At 35.2% G+C, this 22,230-nt stretch overlaps 1 protein-coding gene across 6 annotated transcripts in view; it reads right to left on the bottom strand.

Annotated features, from left to right (window-relative positions):
• The window catches only part of WRN (WRN RecQ like helicase), a 142,329-nt gene that overhangs the window by 50,366 nt on the left and 69,733 nt on the right, over positions 1–22,230 (bottom strand). For all 6 annotated transcript variants that reach the window (XR_949472.4, XR_949471.4, XR_949470.4 and 3 more), the window contains 5 exons: positions 13,974–14,158; positions 9,245–9,419; positions 5,349–5,530; positions 1,150–1,251; positions 773–865 (listed from right to left, as the gene is read on the bottom strand). Coding sequence is in view for 3 of the 6 variants with exons in the window: in NM_000553.6 (NP_000544.2) it covers positions 773–865; positions 1,150–1,251; positions 5,349–5,530; positions 9,245–9,419; positions 13,974–14,158 (737 nt within the window). In the remaining 3 variants the exon portion in view is untranslated. The remainder of the gene's footprint in view (positions 1–772; positions 866–1,149; positions 1,252–5,348; positions 5,531–9,244; positions 9,420–13,973; positions 14,159–22,230) is intronic.

The raw sequence follows: 22,230 nt of genomic DNA, 5'->3' as shown, positions 1-22,230 counted from the left end.
GCAGGACTAAAGGGCAAAAACTAGGTTTGCTAGAGAAGAAATTCTGCCTCAAGACTGCAACATCACCTCTTGCCTGAGTTTCCAGCCTATTGACCTGCTCTACAAATTTCAGACTTGCCAACCCCCACAATTTCGTGAGCTAATTCTTCAAAATCAGTCGCCTCATCCCTCTCTCCCCATATTTGTTCTTCCTTTCCCTCCCCATATATATATATATATATATATATATATATATCTCCATAATATCAATCGTCCTATTTCTCTGGTGAACCCTGACTGATACATTGGTGAAATGATTCTTTTACATCATATAATATCCTTCTTTATCCTGATAATATTCTTTGCTCCAAAGTGTCCATTGTCTGATATTAAAGTAACTCCAACTTCCTTTTGATTAATGTTTTCATGGAATGTAATGTTTCATTCTTTTTTAAACCTATCTATATAATTACAGTGGATTTCTTGTGGACAACGTACAGAACAGGGTCATGTTTTTAAACCAATTCTTACAATTTACGCCTTTAAATAATATTTTAGATCATTTACATTTAACATAACTATTGATATGTTTAGATTTAGGGCTACCATTTTATTGCTTTATCTATTTTTTAAGCAAAATACTTTAATATTGTTTGCTTTCTCATATCTAAACACATTCATTGTTTTGTTTAAAAAACTGAAATACTTATCATTCAACAAAAATTCAGTTAAACATGAAAAGGAAGAGAAAGAAAGACTTTTAGAATGTCCATCTATAATAAGAAATCTTTACCTGGACCTGCAATTATCACAGCATTTTTCAGTTCCCATAATTCCCAAGGAGGCTTTTTGTACTTGTTTGTCCTCAAAATGAGACAAGATGATTCTACCCAAGACAAAATTTTAAATTAAATAAAAGAACAGAAACGTATATGTTAAGTTCATTCCTGAAAATAATGAGGTAAAATCACCATTAATTGATTCACTTGGGACTTCATTATTTGACTTCAGTTTACTCAGACACAAAGAAGTTAGCCTTAAAAATTCAGCACACATGTAACAGCAACAAAATATTTTTTCAAAATACTGATAATTATTTAGCCAAATTGTTGTCTTAAAAGAGCATCATCCATAAATCCATACTATTGGCATAAAATAAATAATACATACTGTCTCCTACATCTGCTAGAATGAAGATATTTTTCCATCTTTGCCATCATCTTTAATTTGTATAATCGAAACTTCTCATTACGTATCTCAGTAAGAAGGTGCCTGTCGATTAAAAACATCACAGGAATATGTAAAACTGTATTGGCAACTTTCTTACTTTTTTTTTTACTTATTTTTTACTGTTTATTTTTCATTATCTACAAAACCCACACCCCATCAAGATAAAAAAACATTTCTAGCATCTCAGAAAGTTCTGTTGTATTCCTTTCCAGTCAATGCCCCCAACAAGAGGTAAACATTTTTCTGATTTTATAAAAATTGCTTTTGAAAAAAAATTCTTCCTGTGTCCAAGTATCAATTCTTTAGCTGCTTTGAAAAAGTATCAAAAACTCTAAGGTTTTTCATTTCAATTTACATGTCACACACTTTTTGGCTTCAAACAATGCTTCTACAATTTATTAATTTTTACCTTTTCCCAGTAAAAAGGTTATTCTTTATTTTATTTTGTATGAGAAACTAAAAGCATTGACGTAAGGAACACTGAAAGAAGCTCAAATTTGAACCTTTATCTCTATCAGCTCTTCAGGACTTCTCGCCCTCCAAAACTGTCTCTTAGTATTATGGGTTATTATGGGACACCAGTCAAGTATTAGAATTAAGTTCCTTTCTCAATCGATTATAACTGATTTGTTTGCCATATCAAATTTATTCAAAATTGTTAAATAACATTAAGGAGGTGTTTGTTTTTTAAAGTCAATGCAGCCATAATTCATCATGACTCTGTTAATTTCTAGTCTTCTGTGAAGAAAGCCCATGAATATCAAATATCAGATGATGACAATCTCCCAAATAGCTTTGCATATCTTTACAAGAACAAATGAAAGTCCATGTTAACTAGGTTTCAGATATTTCAAAAGAAAACAACGATTTACTTATAATATCTAAGGGACAGCATTAGTAAAATCCTCATCAAAATAGACTTCACTCACTAATAATTTGACTATTCAACCTTCTGACTGATTAAATACCTCTGCATAATTCTCAAGGAGTTCTGGAAAGTCTGAAGACACAAATGATCCGTTATTCAAAAACATTCTTGTCATCTGAAACGACCACCCACCATGCCCTTCCATGTAATTATCCCCAAAGTCTCTTCCAACTGTTGACTCTAGCTCCTAGGTTAACCATATACAGTTCCTCCTTATCCACAAGGGATACATTCCAAGACGTCCAGTGGATGCCTGAAGCCGCAGAATAGTACCAACCAAATCCTGTATGTATTATGTTTTTTCCTATATGTATATACCTATGAAAAAGTTTAATTTATAAATTAGGCACAGTACTCTTGTGCTTTGGGGTCATTCTTAAGTAAAATAAGCGTTACTTGAACACAAGCACTGTGATACTGCAACAAGTGACTAACAGACAGGGAGTAAATACAACGTGAATGCACCGGACAAAGGGATGATTCTAAGGGAAGTCGAGGCAGACTGAGTGGGATGGCACAAAATTTCATTACAGTACTCAAAGCCACCACTGATTTAAAATTTATAAATTGTTTATTTCTGGAATTTTCTATTTAACATTTTGGACGTGGTTGTGAGTAACTAAAACATAGAAAGTGAAAATGCAGACAAGGGGGTCCACTGTAATCTCATTCTTTCTACCTCAAGGGATAAAAATCAGTTCTTTTTTGCTTTATTTTGTTTGTTTAGTTCACCTCGTTCCCCTCCTATAGAAAAAAAAAAAAAAAAAAAAAAAAACAAGAAAAGAAATGCCCACACTCTTCAGAACTGGGTCCTTCCTTCCTTGTATTTGGTTCAGATGACCTACATTTAACTAATCTCGTCAGTGTCAGGACAAATTTGAGAAAACAAAACTACAACTCTTAACGGCAAATAAATAAATATTTATTTTTCTTTTGGGACTACAAAAATAAGTCCAGTATTCCACAGAATAAAAACAACTTGAAAATTAAAAAAATTCTAAACCATTCATGGCAATCATTTGGATCCACTGAAAGATCTACCGGACCGAGATTACTCTGCAAATTATTCTCTGTTAAAAAAAGATTACAATAACTTTGGGGTTTGACTATTTAAGGTAACAGCAAATGCAGACATTGGGACTTTGCCTGTGGTATGAATTCTGCAATTAAAAACATAAATTTACATGAAGATTACATGATGACTGGACAAGTTTCTTCTCTCAGTGATAGAATTATGGCATAAGATAGACTCTAAAAATTTTGTGAGTAACTGACCTTTCCAGGTGAGAACCAGCAACTTCATTTATTCTTAGACTTTCTAGTTTTTTCTAGAAGAGGGTTGTCACCAGGATGATACAGATCCCTCCTGAATCCTTGCTCAATTCTTTTTTATCCTGATTAATCCTATAGTTTTAGTTTCCTCAGGATTGATGCAAAGGGTAACCTGTCTATACCCAAAATTCAAGTATGGGTTTCTGGCACCACTATTTGATTTGAATCACTGTTATTTCCTGTTAAATCTTAATGAGATAACCATTTAAAATATCTTTTAAGACCCAGAGAAACAAGAATTGTATTTATTGATGAACCTTCAAATGCACAATATAAAACTGGATATTAATGTCCTCAGTACCTTTAACAAAATACACAAATAAAATCAGAACTGGTAGGAATCAACTTATGTTTGATATATTCCATATTTAATAGTAACATGTACAGCTGTGTTCTATCCCAATTATTTAAATTAGATCATAAGAAGCTTGACAGATACAACTGTCTAAAGGAAAACAAGAATTGTTATGTACAAAAAAAGGATGGTTTTGTCATCTTCTATGTTAAGAAGGAAAAGCTACTGACTACTCAGAAGGAAAATCTTAAAATTTGCATCAAACATTTTTACCTAATTAATTCCTATTCTTCTTTCAGATTTGAACTATCACTTCCACAAGGAAGCCTTATCTGACCTTTTTAACTTGGGAAATACCACACACCATTATATATTCTTACTACTCAGTGCAATTTCCCTTCATTACACTTAACACAGTTATAATTTTAAATATGTTGCATGATTCCTTTTTTACAAAATTTTGATTGTTGACATTTTCAAACACAAAAGGAGAACAGTAAAATGAAGCCTATGTATCCATAGTTATGTGATTCTCTAAAGAATTACCATTCCCATTATACTGAATTCTATGGAAGCAGGTACTTTGCTTTTCTTTACTACTATATCTCCCACACATAGCATAGTTCATGGAACACAGTGGACAATCAAAAACACATTGTTTAATGATGCATAAAAACAAAAACTGTAGTGGGAGGCACTCTCTTATCATTTTACTAAAATGAGCTAATATGTCCATTCAAGATCTCAATTTATTCAGCTACACAAAGGTGTACTCTGAAAATACTTCATCAGCTTGGCAGCCCCATTGGTTACCATGTATAGGTTTTTCTCCTGAGATTCTTTTTCCTACGGATGAAGGAACAAAGTATTGGTAAATGCTGCCCCAAAATCTTTGCAAGATAATGTTTTCCTTTACAACAAAAAATCTCATAGAACTTAAGTGCCAACAAACTACTTGTTGAGTACTTAAGTAGAAAGGTTCTCCTGCACTTAGATACTGAACACTTAATATTGACTTACGGCAGTCTGTCAGTACAGTGCAACACAATGATTCATACACAGTCAAGGAGAACTGGCATGGTCTCATGGAACTAACCAAGAAAACAAATAGTAACAAGAGTCAAATAGGGACTGAGAGAAATCCTCTGGAATAATCACCACTGTAGCATGGGAAGAAAGAATCAGTAACAAAATCAGTGGTAGTTGAAGTAACTATGGCTGAAGACATCGCAACTTGACAGGATCTGAGGAGAGGAAAAGAACCTGTTCATTAATGCACAATGGTAGGAAAGTATTCCATAGGATCTCTGTGACAGGCCCAAGTATTGTCCTGATTTAGTTAATTCCTCACACTAACTAAGGCATGCTGAAATTAGCTCATCTCCAAGTGGCAACTCTTACCACAAATGTTCTTCTTACATGTCCTCTGGATTTGGGGAGGTTTTATTTTTCTTTTTTTTTTTTTTTACTTTAAATGCACTCACAAATTACTTGGGATACTGGAAATAGCCTCAAACACTTTTGAGGTTTATATGGAAAGAAAGAAAGAAATCTGCAAGAGTAAAAACAATAAATTTTTTTTACCTATTTAAGTTAATGTCTGCAGGAGCCCAGAGGACGTGACAAGAACTTTGAAGTCCATCACGACCAGCTCTACCAATCTCCTGATAATATGATTCCATGTCCTTAGGAGCACCGTAATGAATGACTTGGCGAATGTCAGCTTTATTAATGCCCATTCCAAAAGCTATGGTAGCTATGACACACTGAGAACAAATCACAACACAGTTTGACAAACATATTTAGCAGAATGAAAACCTTACATTTATACCTTTTTGTAAGAATAATTTGTTCGTTAACTTAAGTCCCTGGCACAAAGTGGAATTCAATGTGATTTCAACCAATCATTTACAGATTATCTGCCTGATTTACAGATTAAGGACTGGTGACTAGAAATGGGATTTCTGTTCACTCTCTATAAAAAATAGTAAATAAAGTGGTCTATCTGAACTCCTATGAATACAAGACACAAAAGGGGTTCAAAATATTTATTGTGTTAAAGAAAACTTTTGCATTATAATGAAGTTTCAAGCGTCCTTACCTGATTGCAGAGTATTTTAACATTCTCTAATATTAATCTAAGATGGAAGCTTCTCATTAAAGATGGTGGGATGAAACATAATGCATTATCTCTGCATCTTTAAGAGGGTAAAATTGATAGAATGTCTCATATCTATGAATATACTGAGGTAAGTTTACACAATTGTGGGAAATTTTAGGGAAGAATTAGTGATAAGACATAGAAAATTTTTTTTTAGGTAATAACAATAAAAATACAAATAGATAAGAAAGAAAAATAGCCATAATATACTACATGGCTCAGAGATCATAAAAAGCATTTACAGAGTAATAATTATGTAAATCGTATACACTAATCTAGCCAAAATTATGACATAAACATATTAGGAGGAAAGGGGGTTAGAAATACATGGACAAGGTAAGAAAAAAGGGCAGTTAAGAATGTGAAAGAGAGCTAACCTTTCATCTTTCAGAGAGAAGAGTCGATAAATAATGCCTACGACTAATACACAAATAAACAAAAAATTAAGTAGGAGCCAGGTACATAAACTATGGCAAGATATAGTGGTAAAGTACCAAAAGAATCAGCTAAAAAGGTTGTGAATGGGAAACAGAAGTGGGAAAGACATGAGGCCTTGAAGTTTTTTACTGTAAGAACAGTAGACCTATCTGCATGCCATTTCATAAAGAAAGATTACATGCTAAGATGGACCAGGAATACGAAAGGAAGAGAAAAGAAGGAAAGAAGAAAAGAAAGGAGGGAGGAAAGGAGGAAAATGCTGAGTAAGTAAAAGAAAGTATGAGAAAGGTGAGAAAAAAGTAAATATAGGAATGAATATCATACTAAGTAAAAGCTCTGGCTGAATAAGACTCAGCAATTTTTTGATATATGTAAGAGTCAATAAGCAACACAATAATAATTCTAATTTTAATTATATGGTATTATTTTTAGGTGAGATCAACCTATTTTACAGACATGATTTTCAAACTATCCTTATAAACTCTCAGGTGTAAAGACATTTTATCAAATAATTTATTCACAACATCATTCCTAAAAAGAAAGGACTCAAGGCATCTTGAAAGGGGAAATGAAATACAAAAAGATACGAAACTAATAAAAGTGAGGATTAAAAGTAAAAATGAATGTTCAAGACTAAAAATGCCTATCTACATGCAAATGTGTTTGGATCTGGTTATAAAAATAAGAAAGAAAAGTATACTTTTTTCTAAAATTATAAAAGAAAATTTAAGATTCTAAACATCACTCAGTGTAAGACATTAAGAGCTACAGCTGTCACCTCCACTTTTAGAGCCACACTAAGGTATATAACAACTGTAAAAACACACAAAAGTGAATATCTAGAATTCTATACATTATGCACTCAGTAGGTATTCAATTCTCGGTAGCAAGTAATCAATTGCAAGAACACCTGACTATTCTACATAGATGATGAAACATACTTTCATCATCTTTACAAAGTGTTTGAGAACTTTCAATGCAAATATGAAGCTTTTGAATTCTTTATAATGGCAAAGTAGGAGTACATTGGGCCAGCTGTCAGATAAAACAAAATATCTGATATCAACGTAGGGAGAAAAAACCATATCAATTTTTAAATTTTCGTAATGTGGATAAAAATTTGTGACATCCTGCCACAGCAAGGGAGAATACCGCAACACATACATGCATATACTCTTCCAGAAATTAGGTGTAATTAATGATCATTGTGAAGTTTCCTAAGCCATATTTCAAAGCATTACTGTTTTAATGAAGCTGTGAATTGGCAGGAAAATCAGGCGCATCCAACAAAGTCTCCTGTCACAACGTAACATGAATAAAGTTTGTATTCTTTCATGTTCTGGGAGATGTTTTACTCTAAATGAATAATTACTAATACATTAAGATAGAAGAAACCATTGGTCAGTTAATGGCTTGAAGATTGATTATTAAGATTCAGTAGTACCAGTAGTAGCTAATAAATGTCATTTGACAATATTCAAGACACTGAAATAACAGAACAAAAATATAAACACTGAAGAATTTGGATAAAATTTCTATTCTAAACAGCTGTGAATGGTATTCTTATCTTTGGAAAGAAGGAAAAGAGAGACCAGATGCTTTCAGGCGGGTATGCATTACAGCATGACTATGTGTAGTGAACTTTATAGACAGTGAATATGAATCATACTTAAGCTTTTCAACAACACTGATAACAACTAGATATCAGAAAAGGAGATGGATAGAGAAGAAATGGATGACCGGTGGGACAGAAAATGCAAGAGCTGAAGTTAAATTCCTAACTTCAGGAGAGGGCTCTTCCTCGGACTTATAGTTACAGTGTGGATTTCATGTTGACAGTGTCAAGTTGTTGACTTAAACCTACTCATGTGCCTTGAACTTAAATCCTCCCAAATAAATCCTCTATGACACCCACTGAGCCAGTCCAATCAGGTCAGGAATCTCAACTGTAGAATTTCACAATAGCTGCATCGATACCCTTTCCCTTCTTCAGTTTCTCTTCTTCAAATCAATCCAACTTATTGCTGCCAGTCTAATGTTTCTATAATCCTATTATCTTATTTAAAAACACAGAGTAGTACATCAAGATGGTTTTCAAATGATTCTGCGGCACTCCAAGGATTATAAGACCCCAACAGGGAGTGTCTTCAAGGTCTAGAGACGAGACTCTTGTACCTCCTTTTCCCTCACATTAACTTCAGCCAGAGTTATTCTACTTTAATCCGTTTTACCTATTACAGAAAATTGTATCTAAACTAAAAATTCTAAGGCTAAAGTAGTCAGTGAAAACTAACAGGTATATGATACCAAGCCCAGACTGCTTCTTTGCAAGTTTTAAAGCCATCTATAACCTGGCCAACCGACCCATTCAACTGTTCTCTCAAGTCTCTAACGGTTCCACCCTGCCTCTTTGTCCATACTTTGTGCCATTCCTACCCCACATTGTCTTTCCCTCCAACCATTCCATACCAGTCACATTTCCTGAACCCAGTATGTGTTCTCATATCAAAGTGTCTTTGCACCTGCTAGTCCTTCTTCCTGGAATTCTATAACCAATTCCTTTCCCCTCATCACCTACTGGCCTGGCATACTTGAAAAACTTCTACTTACATGTTTGGACTCTAATTGAATTTTCCTGGATGGACCACCCCCATTACACAACTACCTTGACAGAGCTATTCCTCCCTCCTCTGTGCACCTAAGCACTAGGTACAGATTGCTATTTATACTAATCTGCAAGTTTGTTCTCCCACATTTATCAGAGGGACTGCTTTATGTTCAACACAAAGAAAGTATTCAATAAAGATCTGGTAAATAAACATTTGAGAAATATCCACTTCCACTATGAGCAACGGAGAGCAATGATGATTGATCCTCATACCTGAATTTCATCTCTTACAAACCTATGATGAATGTCTTTCCTTGTGCTAAAACTCATGCCCGCATGGTATGTTCCACAGGATAGATTCAGTTTCCTAAGTTCACCTGTAACTTGTTGTGTCATTTTTCTAGAAGGACAGTAGATGATTGTTGGACCTTCAAATTCCCAGTGGGAACTAAAGAAAAAGAAGAACAAAAGAGCAAACATATATACTTTATACATGCTTCAGACCCGTTTGGTTTTATCTTATTTAATTCTTCCTTTCTACCTTCTAAAGAAAAGACTAAAGGAAGAAAGCCTATCAAAAATAATGATATATTTAAGTGCATGAAAATTTAAAACATTATGGAGAATCAAATATCCAAATGAATTGTGTGAAGTCCCCAAAACTCAGTTTTGACTGTTTCAGTTCAAATTAAAGCTAAAACCAGAAACAAATTTATTTGTTTTAGCTGAAACCTTGATAAAAACTTATAAACGACAGATACAAATACTTTGGGGAATGCAAGGCACCAGATTAACAATTAGTCTGGTGAGGGTTTACAAAGGAGTGTGCATAAAACTTGTTACACTGTTCTTATTCTTGCTTATGATAATAAAGCTGAGTTTCTAAATGTTTACTAAAGCAAGAGCTTTCTTATAATATTGAAAGATTGCTTTTACAGTTCAAAGAAGTATTTACTAGTAATCTTGAGACTGAATGTTATAGAAAACATCTGTTAGAATGTATTTTGTAGAAACTTGTGCTTCTTTATTAAAAGCGTAAACGATTTCCATAGAAGTATAAACAACTTAAATGTTCAATTTCCACAGAATATTTTACTTAACGCCTAAAAATATTCATTTACATAAGTGCATTCATTTATGCTGACAATATAAAAAAGACTATACTATTTTAGATTTAGGAAAAGTTAATCAATTTCAAGTGCATATAACTTTTGATCCAATTTCAATTTTAGGATTCTAATTTACAAAAATATTTGCTTATTGGCCAAAAGATAAATGTAAACAAATATTCACTGCAACATTATAATAGTAAAAAGTCATCTAAATGTTCATCATTATCTACACTCATACTAAGAAATATTAAGCAAACATTTAAAAATTAAACATTAAAAAAATTATAAAACCTTTAAGGACTGTGGCAAAAGCCACTGAAAACTTAAGCAGAGGAAACAAGGCAATAATTTCACTACAAGAGTCATACTGAATAATCTGTTCAAATCTATTTTTGACAGCAACCAAATGGGCTTCAATATCAAAAATTCACAGTGAACTACTTAATGGAGTGAAAAATGTAAGTTTTCTTTTAGTGTATAAAAATCTTATTTTAAGGCCAGCACAGTGGCTCACGCCTGTAATCCCAGCACTTTGGGATGCCAAGGCGGGCGGATTACCTGAGCTCAGAAGTTCGAGACCAGCCTGGCCAACAAGGTGAAACCCCGTCTCTACTAAAAATACAAAAATTAGCAGGGCATGGTGGCATGCACCTGTAATCCCAGCTACCCAGGAGGCTGAGGCAGGAGAATCGCTGGAACCCAGGAGGCAGAGGCTGCAACGAGCCAAGATCCCGCCACTGCATTACAGCCTGGGCGACAGAGCAAGACTCCATGTCAAAAAAAAAAAAAAAAAAACCTTATTTTAAAAACATGTTTTCAAAGAAGAAAAAACTACTCAACAAAACCTAGATATTGTAATATCCTATATATTAAGGCTCTAATTTAAGAAAATGCAATATATGGAAAGATAGCAGATACTTTAAATGAAAAAAAATTTGCATAAATAATGGATATAGTATGCAACTATTTCTGTATCAACTTAACAACAACAAAAAACTGCAACTATATATCTGCACAGTAGTAGGGTCAGAGAAAGGAAGTCTACATAAATGCCAAAATACCAACAGTGATCACAACTGAGGTACGGAATTAGAAAATTGGAGTCCTTTTCAATTTATATGCAACAGTGTTGCTCAAATTGATATTGACTACATATCACTCTTTTTTAAAAAAGGTGGAAAATATGTAAAAATTTGAACTTATGTAACAGATAAATCAAAAGAGTAAAAATTCCTATTACAAAAGGAGCCATTATTTTGCCAAGTGATTTGCTACAGACTTTTATTTCCTCTTAATTTTCTGAGGGGAGAAAATTCTAATCTAATCTAACCACTAAATTATATGAGAGACTCATCTATCTCACTTAAATGTACTATGAATATATTATAATTAAGACTTTAACAAAATAGGGTTAGTTTAAGAAACACCTTAGCTCAATGGATAAAAATACTTGAATACTGATAAACAAATTAAAGGAATTTAGCAGAATTAAAGGAAGGGAAGAAGATGGAAATAACGGGCAATGCTCTGAAGCCTTAATTACCCTCTACCTCACTGCTCATGAAGAGGAAAGTTTCTGTTCACCTAAGATCTGTAGAAAGCATTCTGACTCTCAATGGTTTCCTGCTATCCTAAGTCTTCTTGGAGGATTAAAAATGGGTACAAAAATCTTTCTTGATCTCCTTAAAAAAAAAAATTCATATTAAATACCTAGATCTTCAATACTGTTGAATGTTACACTGAGTCTGGTCTTTATTTCCTAGTAAGGAGTTCCAGAAAGGTATTCCAGACTTAAGGATGTGTTTGCAGACAATAATTTGTAAACTGCATAGAAAGCAACAAGGGGCACTGGGGAGAGGGGTATCTGTTGGGGAAATTATAATAGTCTCGGCTAAAAAGTAACAAAGACCTCAATTAGCAGAGTCAACATGAAAAACAGAAAGAAACATTTGCATAGGATTATAAGAGGACCAGGACGTCAGAAAACCAGGAGAACAATATTACACACAAAAAAGGCAAACTGCTTTAAAAAGGAGAGTGTTATTATAAGGGAAAGTGCCATAGAGAGTGTTATTATAAGGGAAAGTACCATAGAGACTGAACAGGATCAAAGATTAGGAGGAGATAATGATCTGACTGTGGAGACTCTAACCTAGGACAAACAGCCTTCTTCAAAAGAACTTTTCCTCTTTAGGATGAAAGGGAAGTGAAACACAGTGAGTACTCACTTCAGAGAGCACTAGAATGGCCAGAACACTCAGAATATATTCGATCCATTCTTGTTTTATTCTGAATATAGGACAAGAAAGCCAGGAGCAAATCCTACATTTCAATTATTCCTTAAGGTCCTCAAGAATAACTCCAGGATTTTCTTGGCCTAGCATCAATATTCCCTTTAGAGGAAAACACCAATGATGTTCTTTAAACTCTATTTGTCTATGCTTGTTTTGTGTTTGTATTGGTAGAAGCTTTTTTTTTTTTTTTGAAACGGGGCCTTGCTCTGTCATCCAGCCTGGAGTACAGTGGTGTGATCTCAGCTCACTGCAGCCCCAACATCCTGGGCTCAAATGATCCTCCCACCTCAGCCTCCCAAATAGCTGGGACTACAGGCATGCACCACCATGCCCAGCTAATTTTTGTATTTTTTGTAGAGACAGGGATTCACCATGTTGCCCAGGCTGGTCTCGAACTCCTGGCCTCAAGTGATTCTCCAACGTCTGCCTCCCAAAGTGCTGGGATTCTGGGTGTGAGACACCATGATTGGACAAGAAGCATTTATTTTAATGTTTAAAATTATAAACTGGCCAGGCGCAGTGGCCAACACCTGTAATTCCAGCACTTTGGAAGGCCAACACAGGTGGATCACTTGAGGTCAGGAGTTCGAGATCAGCCTGGCCACCATGGTGAAACCCCGTCTCCACTAAAAAATACAAAAATTAGCCTGGCATGGTGGCGCACACCTGTAATTTCAGCTACTTGGGAGACTGAGGCAGGAGAATAGCTTGAACCCAGGAGGTGGAAGTTGTAGTGAGCCGGGATTGCGCCACTGCACTCCAGCCTGGGTGACAGAGCAAGACACTGTCTCAAATAGTAAAATAAAGGCTTATAAAAAGTAAAATATAGGCTTTTGAAAACTTCTTAACATATATATTTAAAATGCCTTTAAACAAAATAAACAGAAAAAAGTACTAATGCCAGTTTCCTCAACAATAAAATGAAAATAATACGTAACTTACTGAGCAGTTATAGGGATTAAATTAGATCATTTTATATAGAAAGCGCCTACAATAGTCCTTGGAACACAATACAGGCTCCACTGTGTTTGTAAGGTGACCTTTTCTAAGCTCCTTAAGACTGAAGTCATGTAATTAGTAAACTAGACAGAATTCAGATGAAAGAGTCATTTTATGTTTGCTTGTTTACTTATCAATCATTAAAAGTATATGTCCTAGCCAGGCATGGTGGTGCAAGACTGTAGTTCCAGCTACTTGGGAGACTGAGGCAGGAGGACTGCTTGAACCCAGGAGTTTGAGGCTGCAGTGAGTTGTGATCACACCACTGCACTCCAGCCTGGACGACAGAGAGACCCTGTCTCTATAAATAAATAAGTAAAATTTTAAAAAATAAAAATAAATAGTATATGCCCTGTTTAAGCAACAGAATGGGGTATTAAAATATTAGGAGAATTGGTTTCTGCTTTTAAAAATACACTAGTCTCAATCACTGAATTGATTATATAACATCATGCTTGACTTGAACCAAAACTAGGTGGAATTTGAAATATGTTAAATATGCATTAGAAGGAAATCGTAAATAACATAAAATACATAAGTTGTTAAAAAAAAAAAAAGGAAATCATTACCAAAATTCATCAACCATTAAATCCTTACCTTGTTTTGACAAGAAATGGCTGCAGATCCTGAAGGATATTCCCTGTTTTTCGCCTAACTTCTAAATACAGGTTTGGTCGATCAAAACCAGTACAGGTGATCTGAGGATTTCTCAGATTTAAGCAACGTACAATGTCTTCCCGGATTGAAGAACTTGCAGTAGCAGTAAGTGCAACGATTGGAACCTGAATGATGTAAAACTGATATTTTAAAAAGGAAAGAGCTCATTCATTCCCAACATGTCTATAGCTTTCTTACAAAGAGACTGGTAGGACAACAGTTTGTGGTACAATGTTAAAGACACAACTGTAAAATTTTTTTGCAAAGAAAAAATCTCCCTACTAACTTGTTTCTCAGCCTTCTGGAAACAATATTTACTTTTTAAAAATCAGAAATCATTTAAATAAAACATTAAATCCATGAGGTTTCCAAATGCCATTTACTTTGTCTTATTAAATTAAGCCTACTTGTTAGCTATCTACTTCTCCATTTATTATTTTTTAACATTACATTTGAAATGGTGCTGATATAAGCAGGGGGGTATATTATGCCTTATATTTGATTAATGTATAATTACAAATGATAAACTCTCAATTCACTGAAAATCTAACTATATAAAGCAATGGTCGTTTTTTTTTGGCCTCCTATTTTAAATATATAGGTTTATGGCTTCACAAATCTAGAAGCAAAGCTCCAATGACCCAGATAACCTCTCTTCAGTGGTACTGAGATAATCAATAACATACTATATATAGGAAATATGTATAAATGAAACGTATTATTAATTGATTGCTAGCAAAGGCTTCTTGACTGGATTGGCAGACAGAGCAGGAGACTCAGCAGTTATCAGGAAAAGCATGAATATGTCATCTTCCAGAAATTCTAAGGTACGGTAACAACATGCCTCCCCTAAAACTAGAACTCGTGTTTTTATTCTATTATAGGAAATTACACTTAACTATGGTATTATTTCATAATCAGAAAAAGTGGACTGTCTTACAGTTGTTTCTAAATTATCAGCTGTTCTATCACCAAGAATATAACTTTCTTAAAAATATTCTTTTTGGCTCGTGACAGATACAAGAAACAATATTCTCATAAAATAGCTCTTCAGATGCACTGCATCTATTATACAAACCAACCATAGCAATTATCTTGTATATAAGTGGAAATGTATGTGCAATTTACCAATTTGCAAAGAAGCACTTCTAGAATATGACTCAAAATTAAAACAAGATCAATTTATTAAAAATTATAAACTACTTTTTCAATCACTATAACTTTACTGAATTAAAAATTATCTCCAAACTTATATTTAAAAAAATCAATTAAGTTTAAGAGTAGGTTTTTTCAAATTAAAAAAATTAAATCAAAACTAATGTGATGAGATAATTGGCATCATTTTTGCATTCTTTATCCTTAAATTTTGTGACACTATTTTAAAAGGCAACCCCAAAATTAATTTCATTGATTTGTGGCTTACAATCAGATTGTTCTCTGAATTTACAGTGCCTGCCTAGCAACTTAAAGATGAACAAGCTAATCTATAAAGAGGTTGGTTTCTCTAATTAACCCCTAACATGGGTGCATCTGTGTTAACACACAGGTTTTAACAAATATAAGGCTGAGAATAAGGGAGGTTTAAAAATTAGAGGTTCTTAGAACATGCACATTCTCACACAGTAAAGCACTTTCACCGGTTAAGTGTTTTGGTTAAATAATTTATATAAATGCACTAATAAAACACTTGTTTAACCACATATTAAAAACAGTGATTTTCAGGATACAGTCCATAAGAAAACAGGGTTGGGTTTGTTTCTAAGCAATATAATGTATAAGTGAGCAGGTAATATATTTATGAAAATGAGGAAGTAAGCATGAAACATGACATATATTTAAGAAGTTAACAGAAAAACCAGGCAAAAGAATGGCAGCACAGTGAAAAAAGTCTGTTTTGGAATCAGATTGCTTGAGCTGAAATCCTGTTTTTGCCACTTACTAGATGTGAGATTTTGAGCTCTTTATTTAACTCTCTAAGCTTCAGTTTCCTCATCTATAAAATGGCTACAATAACAGTGCCAATCTCATAAAGTTGTGAATATCAAGTGAGATAAAACATGTAAAGTGCTGAACATAATGCATGAAATAAAATATAGTAAGCACTCAAAAAGTTTCAACTATCATAAATATTGTTATTAAAATAAATAAAAAGAATTCTATATAACAACTTCAGAGACATGAGTACTACTCCCAGATTTGCAACTGACATTTGCAAGGGCTCAGTTTTTTCAGCAAAAAAAATGAGATGGAGACGGCTATATGATGTGTTAGACCCTTCCAACTTAAAAATTCCCATCTTGCTACCAGAAATTCCCTATTCCAGCAATCTGGTAACAGTGAAAATCACTATAAATTTACTCTTTTGCCTCAACATTCTAGAAAGATATAGCTAAGAATGTTGCTTCTACAATTAGAAAATAAAGTATCAGACTATATTAAAAATTAATAGTACTTCGTTACTACTAAACAAGCTAGTACTTCGTTTTCATTGGATACATTTTCAGCATCATGAGTTGTCACAGCCTCTGAGCCCCTGATCTTAAGCCACAAGGGCTGAGTGTATTGTAAACTTATTCTTGCATGTTGCTGTCTGGGAATAGACCACACTACAGCTGGTAGTTCTGGGGGCGGTACTGCCGAAAGGCCTGAACACATGTATTTTGGCTGCAATTGAGGAACTTGGGATGCTGACTATTAATTTTGTATTTCAGCAACTGCCCCTTCTCCTATCCCAAAGAACCAATTACTGCCCTCTGCCTCAGCAGTACCAGTATAAGATGACATTCCAAAGACTGGAGGCAACTCAGCCTGAGTTAATTCACAAAATTGTGCCATGCTGGGGCTTGAACTTGAGCTTGGGCTTAGGCTTGGGCTCAGCTTTTGACCCTCAGGCATCTCCTTTCCCTTCCTGCCTTCCTCTCCCTTCTCCTCTGCTGCAGCATGATTTTCTTAATCTTCAGACACTCACTATTTTCATGAACAGTTACCCTCCGGCCCCACAACCAAAGACAACTCATGGCCTCCTTTGGCCCTTGTGTAACACTGCAAACCTGTGGCTTTGCAAAATGTACCCAGGTCACAAGGGGATTTTTTTTTTTAGCAATGATATCCCTTTCTGGGTCACTTTTTAAGCTTATAACCAGACTTATAATCTTAAATGTATTTTTCCTTTGATTAAGCTGCTGCTTCCTCTGTTTCACTGGATTGTGCTAGTTATCAGTGGTTCTTGGGTTCAAAGTAATAAGAATTCCAAAACTGGAAAAAAAAATAAATAAATAAAAATTAATGATAAGCTTCCACTTCAGCAATGAATAGAACCTTTTCTCTTATAAGTATGTGGTATTTTATGACATTTAAAATATATAAACTAGAGTGAAGCTTAAAAACAACACACAGGCAGGCTGAGAAAGGTGACAATACATCCTCATTTGCCAGGACATTCCCAGTTTATGCCTGCAGTCACAGCATAATTATTAATAGCTTGAACTCTTTAATTTTCAGAAGCAAACTGCTTTGGGTAATAAATTATACTGTCATTTAGTTCTTAACTCACAAAATGTATTCTTTAAGTTGACAGGTCTTAATTTCTTTTTTAACAGGCAGCAAGTTTTGCTAAATCAAACAACCAAATATAAATTAATCTTAGACATATACTTCAATGGTGTGGTGCCCACAGACTGAGAAAAGTATAAGTATCCCACCTGCTTCTAAATTCAGGTCATGTTGCTAATTCTAACTTTGTACTCCATAACATCACACATACTTCATTCATTCATGCACTCATTCTAAATAGTTACTGAGTACCTACTATGTGCTGATCTTTGTAATAGATACTGGGGAGAAAGTAATAGAAAAACCCCACATGTCTTATGGATTTCACAATTCCTCTTACTTGAAATGTAAAGAACTTTAAGACTGATGCAAAGCTTTCTGCCTGGCTGTTCTTTCTCAACACTCACTTTGTCTGATTCCTTCCAAATAGGAATCTTTGTGCCAAACAGCTTAGTGATTTCTGCTGTTTTTGAAATTACTGAAATAATATAGTGTGAAACATTCCAGGTTTATAGCAGTTGTCCTAGTATAACTGGAATCAGAACGAGAAGAAAAGCACCAAGAACAGTGAGAAAAATGATACTACTATAACCACCAGGTGGCATGTCTCACCACTTAGCTAATAAAGAGGGTTCTTGAAAACACCAGGGGAAAAACGTTTTCTCAGCCACTGCTCGGCCAACACCCTCCCCGCACTGGAGGCCCAACAGAAGGAATGTGCTTTATTAATCCTCCCAAGAAATGAAAATGATCCAATGACGTCCATGGCCAGACATAATAAAAGATTTAATTCAAGCTTAACAATGTTTAAGAACTGTATAAAATATTTAAAACTCCTTTAACACAATCCTTCTAGAATCAAAGGCCTAGGAAAGGATTACAGAAAGTAATCTTCCTAGTTTCCAAAAGCTTACTTTAAACCATTCTAAATTAATGGAAATCGGTCCTCCAGGTGCACTGTGCCTAGTGACTTTCACCACAGAAATCCCTTCTAAACATGTACTACTAACACTGTTCATCTTTTTATATTATTTGTACCACTTCATAATACCATATTTCATTTGGTGCTATTACTTCTACTGTTATAGGTATGAATCTAAACTCCTTTACTGAACTATGAGCTACCTGAGGGCAGAAATTATGTTTTATGCCTCTTTCAAATCATTTGCTTTAGAAACTAGCAGGATGTTGTATGGTGCAGCTATTTATGGCCCAACTCTATACTGCCCACTACCTGTTTTGGAAAGTCACTTTACTGATTCTCAGCTTTCTCATCATCATTCATTCATTCATTCACCCCATTATAAATTGAGCACCTCCTATAAGCCAGGTATTGTTCCAGATTTTATAAACCAAACAATCAAAAACTCCTCCCTACAAAGAATATTCTAGTGAAGAAGAACTCACAGAAAATTAACAAAATATAACACAGTAAGTTAGACAGTGATAGTGCTATTTTTAAAACAGCAAAGATTTACGAGGAATGCTGAATGATGGGGGAGGGGGAACTAATCTGATATTTCAAATATGGTGGCCCAGGAGGCCTAAATCCAAGAGATCTGAGAGAAGTATGGGAGAACATCCTATAGACAATGTGGGGGAAACGTATTCAGGGAGAGGAAGCAGCAGGCGCAAAGCCCAGGCACTGAAGCATGCCTGGAATGTCCGAAGAAAAACAAGGAGGGTGGTGTGGCTGCATCCGGTGAATGAGGAGACCAGTAGAGAATGAGATCAGAGGGAAAATGGAAGGCCAGATTACATGAGGATCGGTAACTCATCATAAGGACTTTTGCCTTTATTTAGAATGAAATGGCATGCTACTAGATGGTTCTGAGCCGAAGACATGATCTATCAGACTTCATTTTTAAAGTATCACTCTGGACGCTGTGTTGAAACAGAATGAGGGATGGGAAGAGTGAAAGCAGGAGGCCCTAAGGAGATGGTGGCCCGTACCTGGGGAATGGCAGGGATCAAGAGAGAAGTGATTTAATTCTGCATATATTCTGAAGACCTCACGAGATTTCCTTACTGTTTAAATAAACAGTGGAGTGTAAGAAAAAGAGAAAAGATTGAGGAAAATTCCAAAATTTTGGCCAATGGAGCTGCTGTTAAACAAGATGGAGGAGAGTGAGGAAAGAGCAGATCTGGAGTGCTATGCAGAAGTCAATTAGGAAGAGGTTAAGTTTGAGATACCTGTTGGTCATCTCACCAGAGGCATGTTGAGTAGTTATATAGATGTGTGCCTGTGTATACACACATATATATGTACATATATTCTATTAAATGGCTAAAATGAACTAATAGTGACAACACCAAATGCTGGCAAAGAGGCAAAAACAACTGAATCACTCATATACTGCTGATATCAGTCTATGATGGAGATAAAAATTTGGGAGTCCTCAGTATAGACTTGATATTTAAAACTGTAGGCTGGACGTGGTGGCTCACATCTGTAATCTCAGCACTTTGGCAAGCCAAGGCAGGTGGATCACCTGAGGTCAGGAGTTCGAGACCAGCCTGGCCAATATGGTGAAACCCCATCTCTACTAAAAATACAAAATTAGCTAGGCATGGTGGCACGTACCTATAATCCTAACTACTGGGGAGGCTGAGCAGAAGAATCACTTGAACCCGGGAGGCAGAGGTTGCAGTAAGGTGAGTTCACGCCATTGCACTCCAGCCTGGGCAACAAGAGTGAAACTCCATCTCAAAAATAAAAAAAATAAAATAACATAAAACTGTATGTTGGGTGAAATGACCAAGAAAATGAGTGCAAAGGTAGGTCCAAAGACTAAAGTTTCTGGAAGGCCAACATTAAAAGGTCAGGGAGATGAGAAGGAACAGGAGGCTGAGAATAAAGAGACAGTAAGGAAAGAAGAAATCCATGAGTGTGTGCTGTCCTATGTGACTACTAAAGAATTATTTCAAGAAAAAGTATGAAGATTTTAATAGCTACCTTGTTGAACCATGATACTAAAATCTGACCCAAGGCCAGCCACATCATTGGAGCTCAATTCACATGGTTTGATTTTCCCTCAATATAAACTTGCTAACTAGTATATTTAATTTATTTTTGGTTTGTTGTTTTAATATCTGCTCCAACCAAACTCTGTGAGATAAGCTAACAAAAGATACTATTTTTGAGATGCCTCTCAATTTGCTATCTATAAGCAAGATTAATGAGCAATGAAATTGAACTAGACAACCTACCAAAAGAATAACAAACAATTTCTAACACAGTTTACTCACAAAATTGTGAAATCCTGGGCTCAGAAGGCACCATTGCCTCGCTACTACCAAGAAAACTTAAACATAAGCCAACTTTATTCGTTCAAAATTAATATAACAGGCTAGAGAACCCAGAAATAGACCCACACAAATACACCCACATGACTTTCAACAAAGGGGCAAACGCAATTTAACAGGGGAAGGACAGCCTATTCAACAAAGGATCTGCTGCAATTTAATCTATTGGGAAAACAATGAACCTTGACTTAAACCTCACACCTTATACAAAATTTAACTCAAAATGGATCACAGACTTAAAACATAAAACTGTAACAATTTTAGGAAAGAACCACAGGAGAAAATCTTCAGGATCTAGGGCTAGGTGAAGAGCACAATCCATAAAAGAAAAAATGATAAACTGGATTTCACTAAAATGTTAAATATTTACTCTGTGAAAGACACGGTAAAAAGAATGAAAAGGCAAGCTACAAAGTGAAAGAAATATTTGAAACCACGTATCTGACCAAGGACTCATATCTACAATGTATTTTTTAAACTCTTAAAACTCAACAGAAAAAAACAAGCACTCCAATTATGTAAGAAATTTCACCAGAGGCAAATTAGTATATGAAAAGACGTTCACCATCATTAGCCATGAGAGAAATGCAAATTAAAAGTGAGATACCACTCGACACCTATCGAAATGGCTAAAATAAAAAACAGTTGCAACAACAAACGGTGGCAAGGATAACTAGATCATTCACACACTGCTGACAGGAATGTAGAATGCTACAGCCACTTTGGAAAACAGGTTTGTGACAATTCCTTAAAAACTAAAAATACACTCCTGGACATTTATCCCAGAGAAATGAAAACTTTTATATTTTCAGGTTGTTTAACCATTCACCCATTAAAGAATCTCTGAAGGCCGGGCGCAGTGGCTCACGCCTGTAATCCCAGCACTTTGGGAGGCCGAGGCAGGTGGATCACGAGGTCAGGAGATCGAGACCATCCTGGCTAACACGGTGAAACGCTGCCTCTACTAAAAATACAAAAAATTAGCCGGGCACAGTGGCGGGCGCCTGTAGTCTCAGCTACTCGGGAGGCTGAGGCAGGAGAATGGCGTGAACCCAGGAGGCGGAGCTTGCAGCGAGCCGAGATCGCGCCACTGCATTCCAGCCAGGGTGACAGAACCAGACTGTCTCAAAAAAAGAAAAATAAATAAAAAAAAATAAAGAACCTTTGAGATATGAACAAATGTTCATAGCATCTTTATTCATAATAGTCAAAAACTGGAAAACAACCCAAAAGTTCTTCAACAGGTGATCAGTTAAACTGTGGTACAACCATACTGTGGAATACTCTGTAATAATAAAAAGGAACAGACCACCGAAAAATAGTCATGTGGTACTTAACG

Source organism: Homo sapiens, chromosome 8 (genome assembly GCF_000001405.40).
Source record: "Homo sapiens chromosome 8, GRCh38.p14 Primary Assembly".
Lineage (NCBI taxonomy): Eukaryota > Metazoa > Chordata > Mammalia > Primates > Hominidae > Homo > Homo sapiens.
Note: the sequence above shows the minus strand (reverse complement) of the source record. Positions and strands in the feature narration are given on the sequence as shown.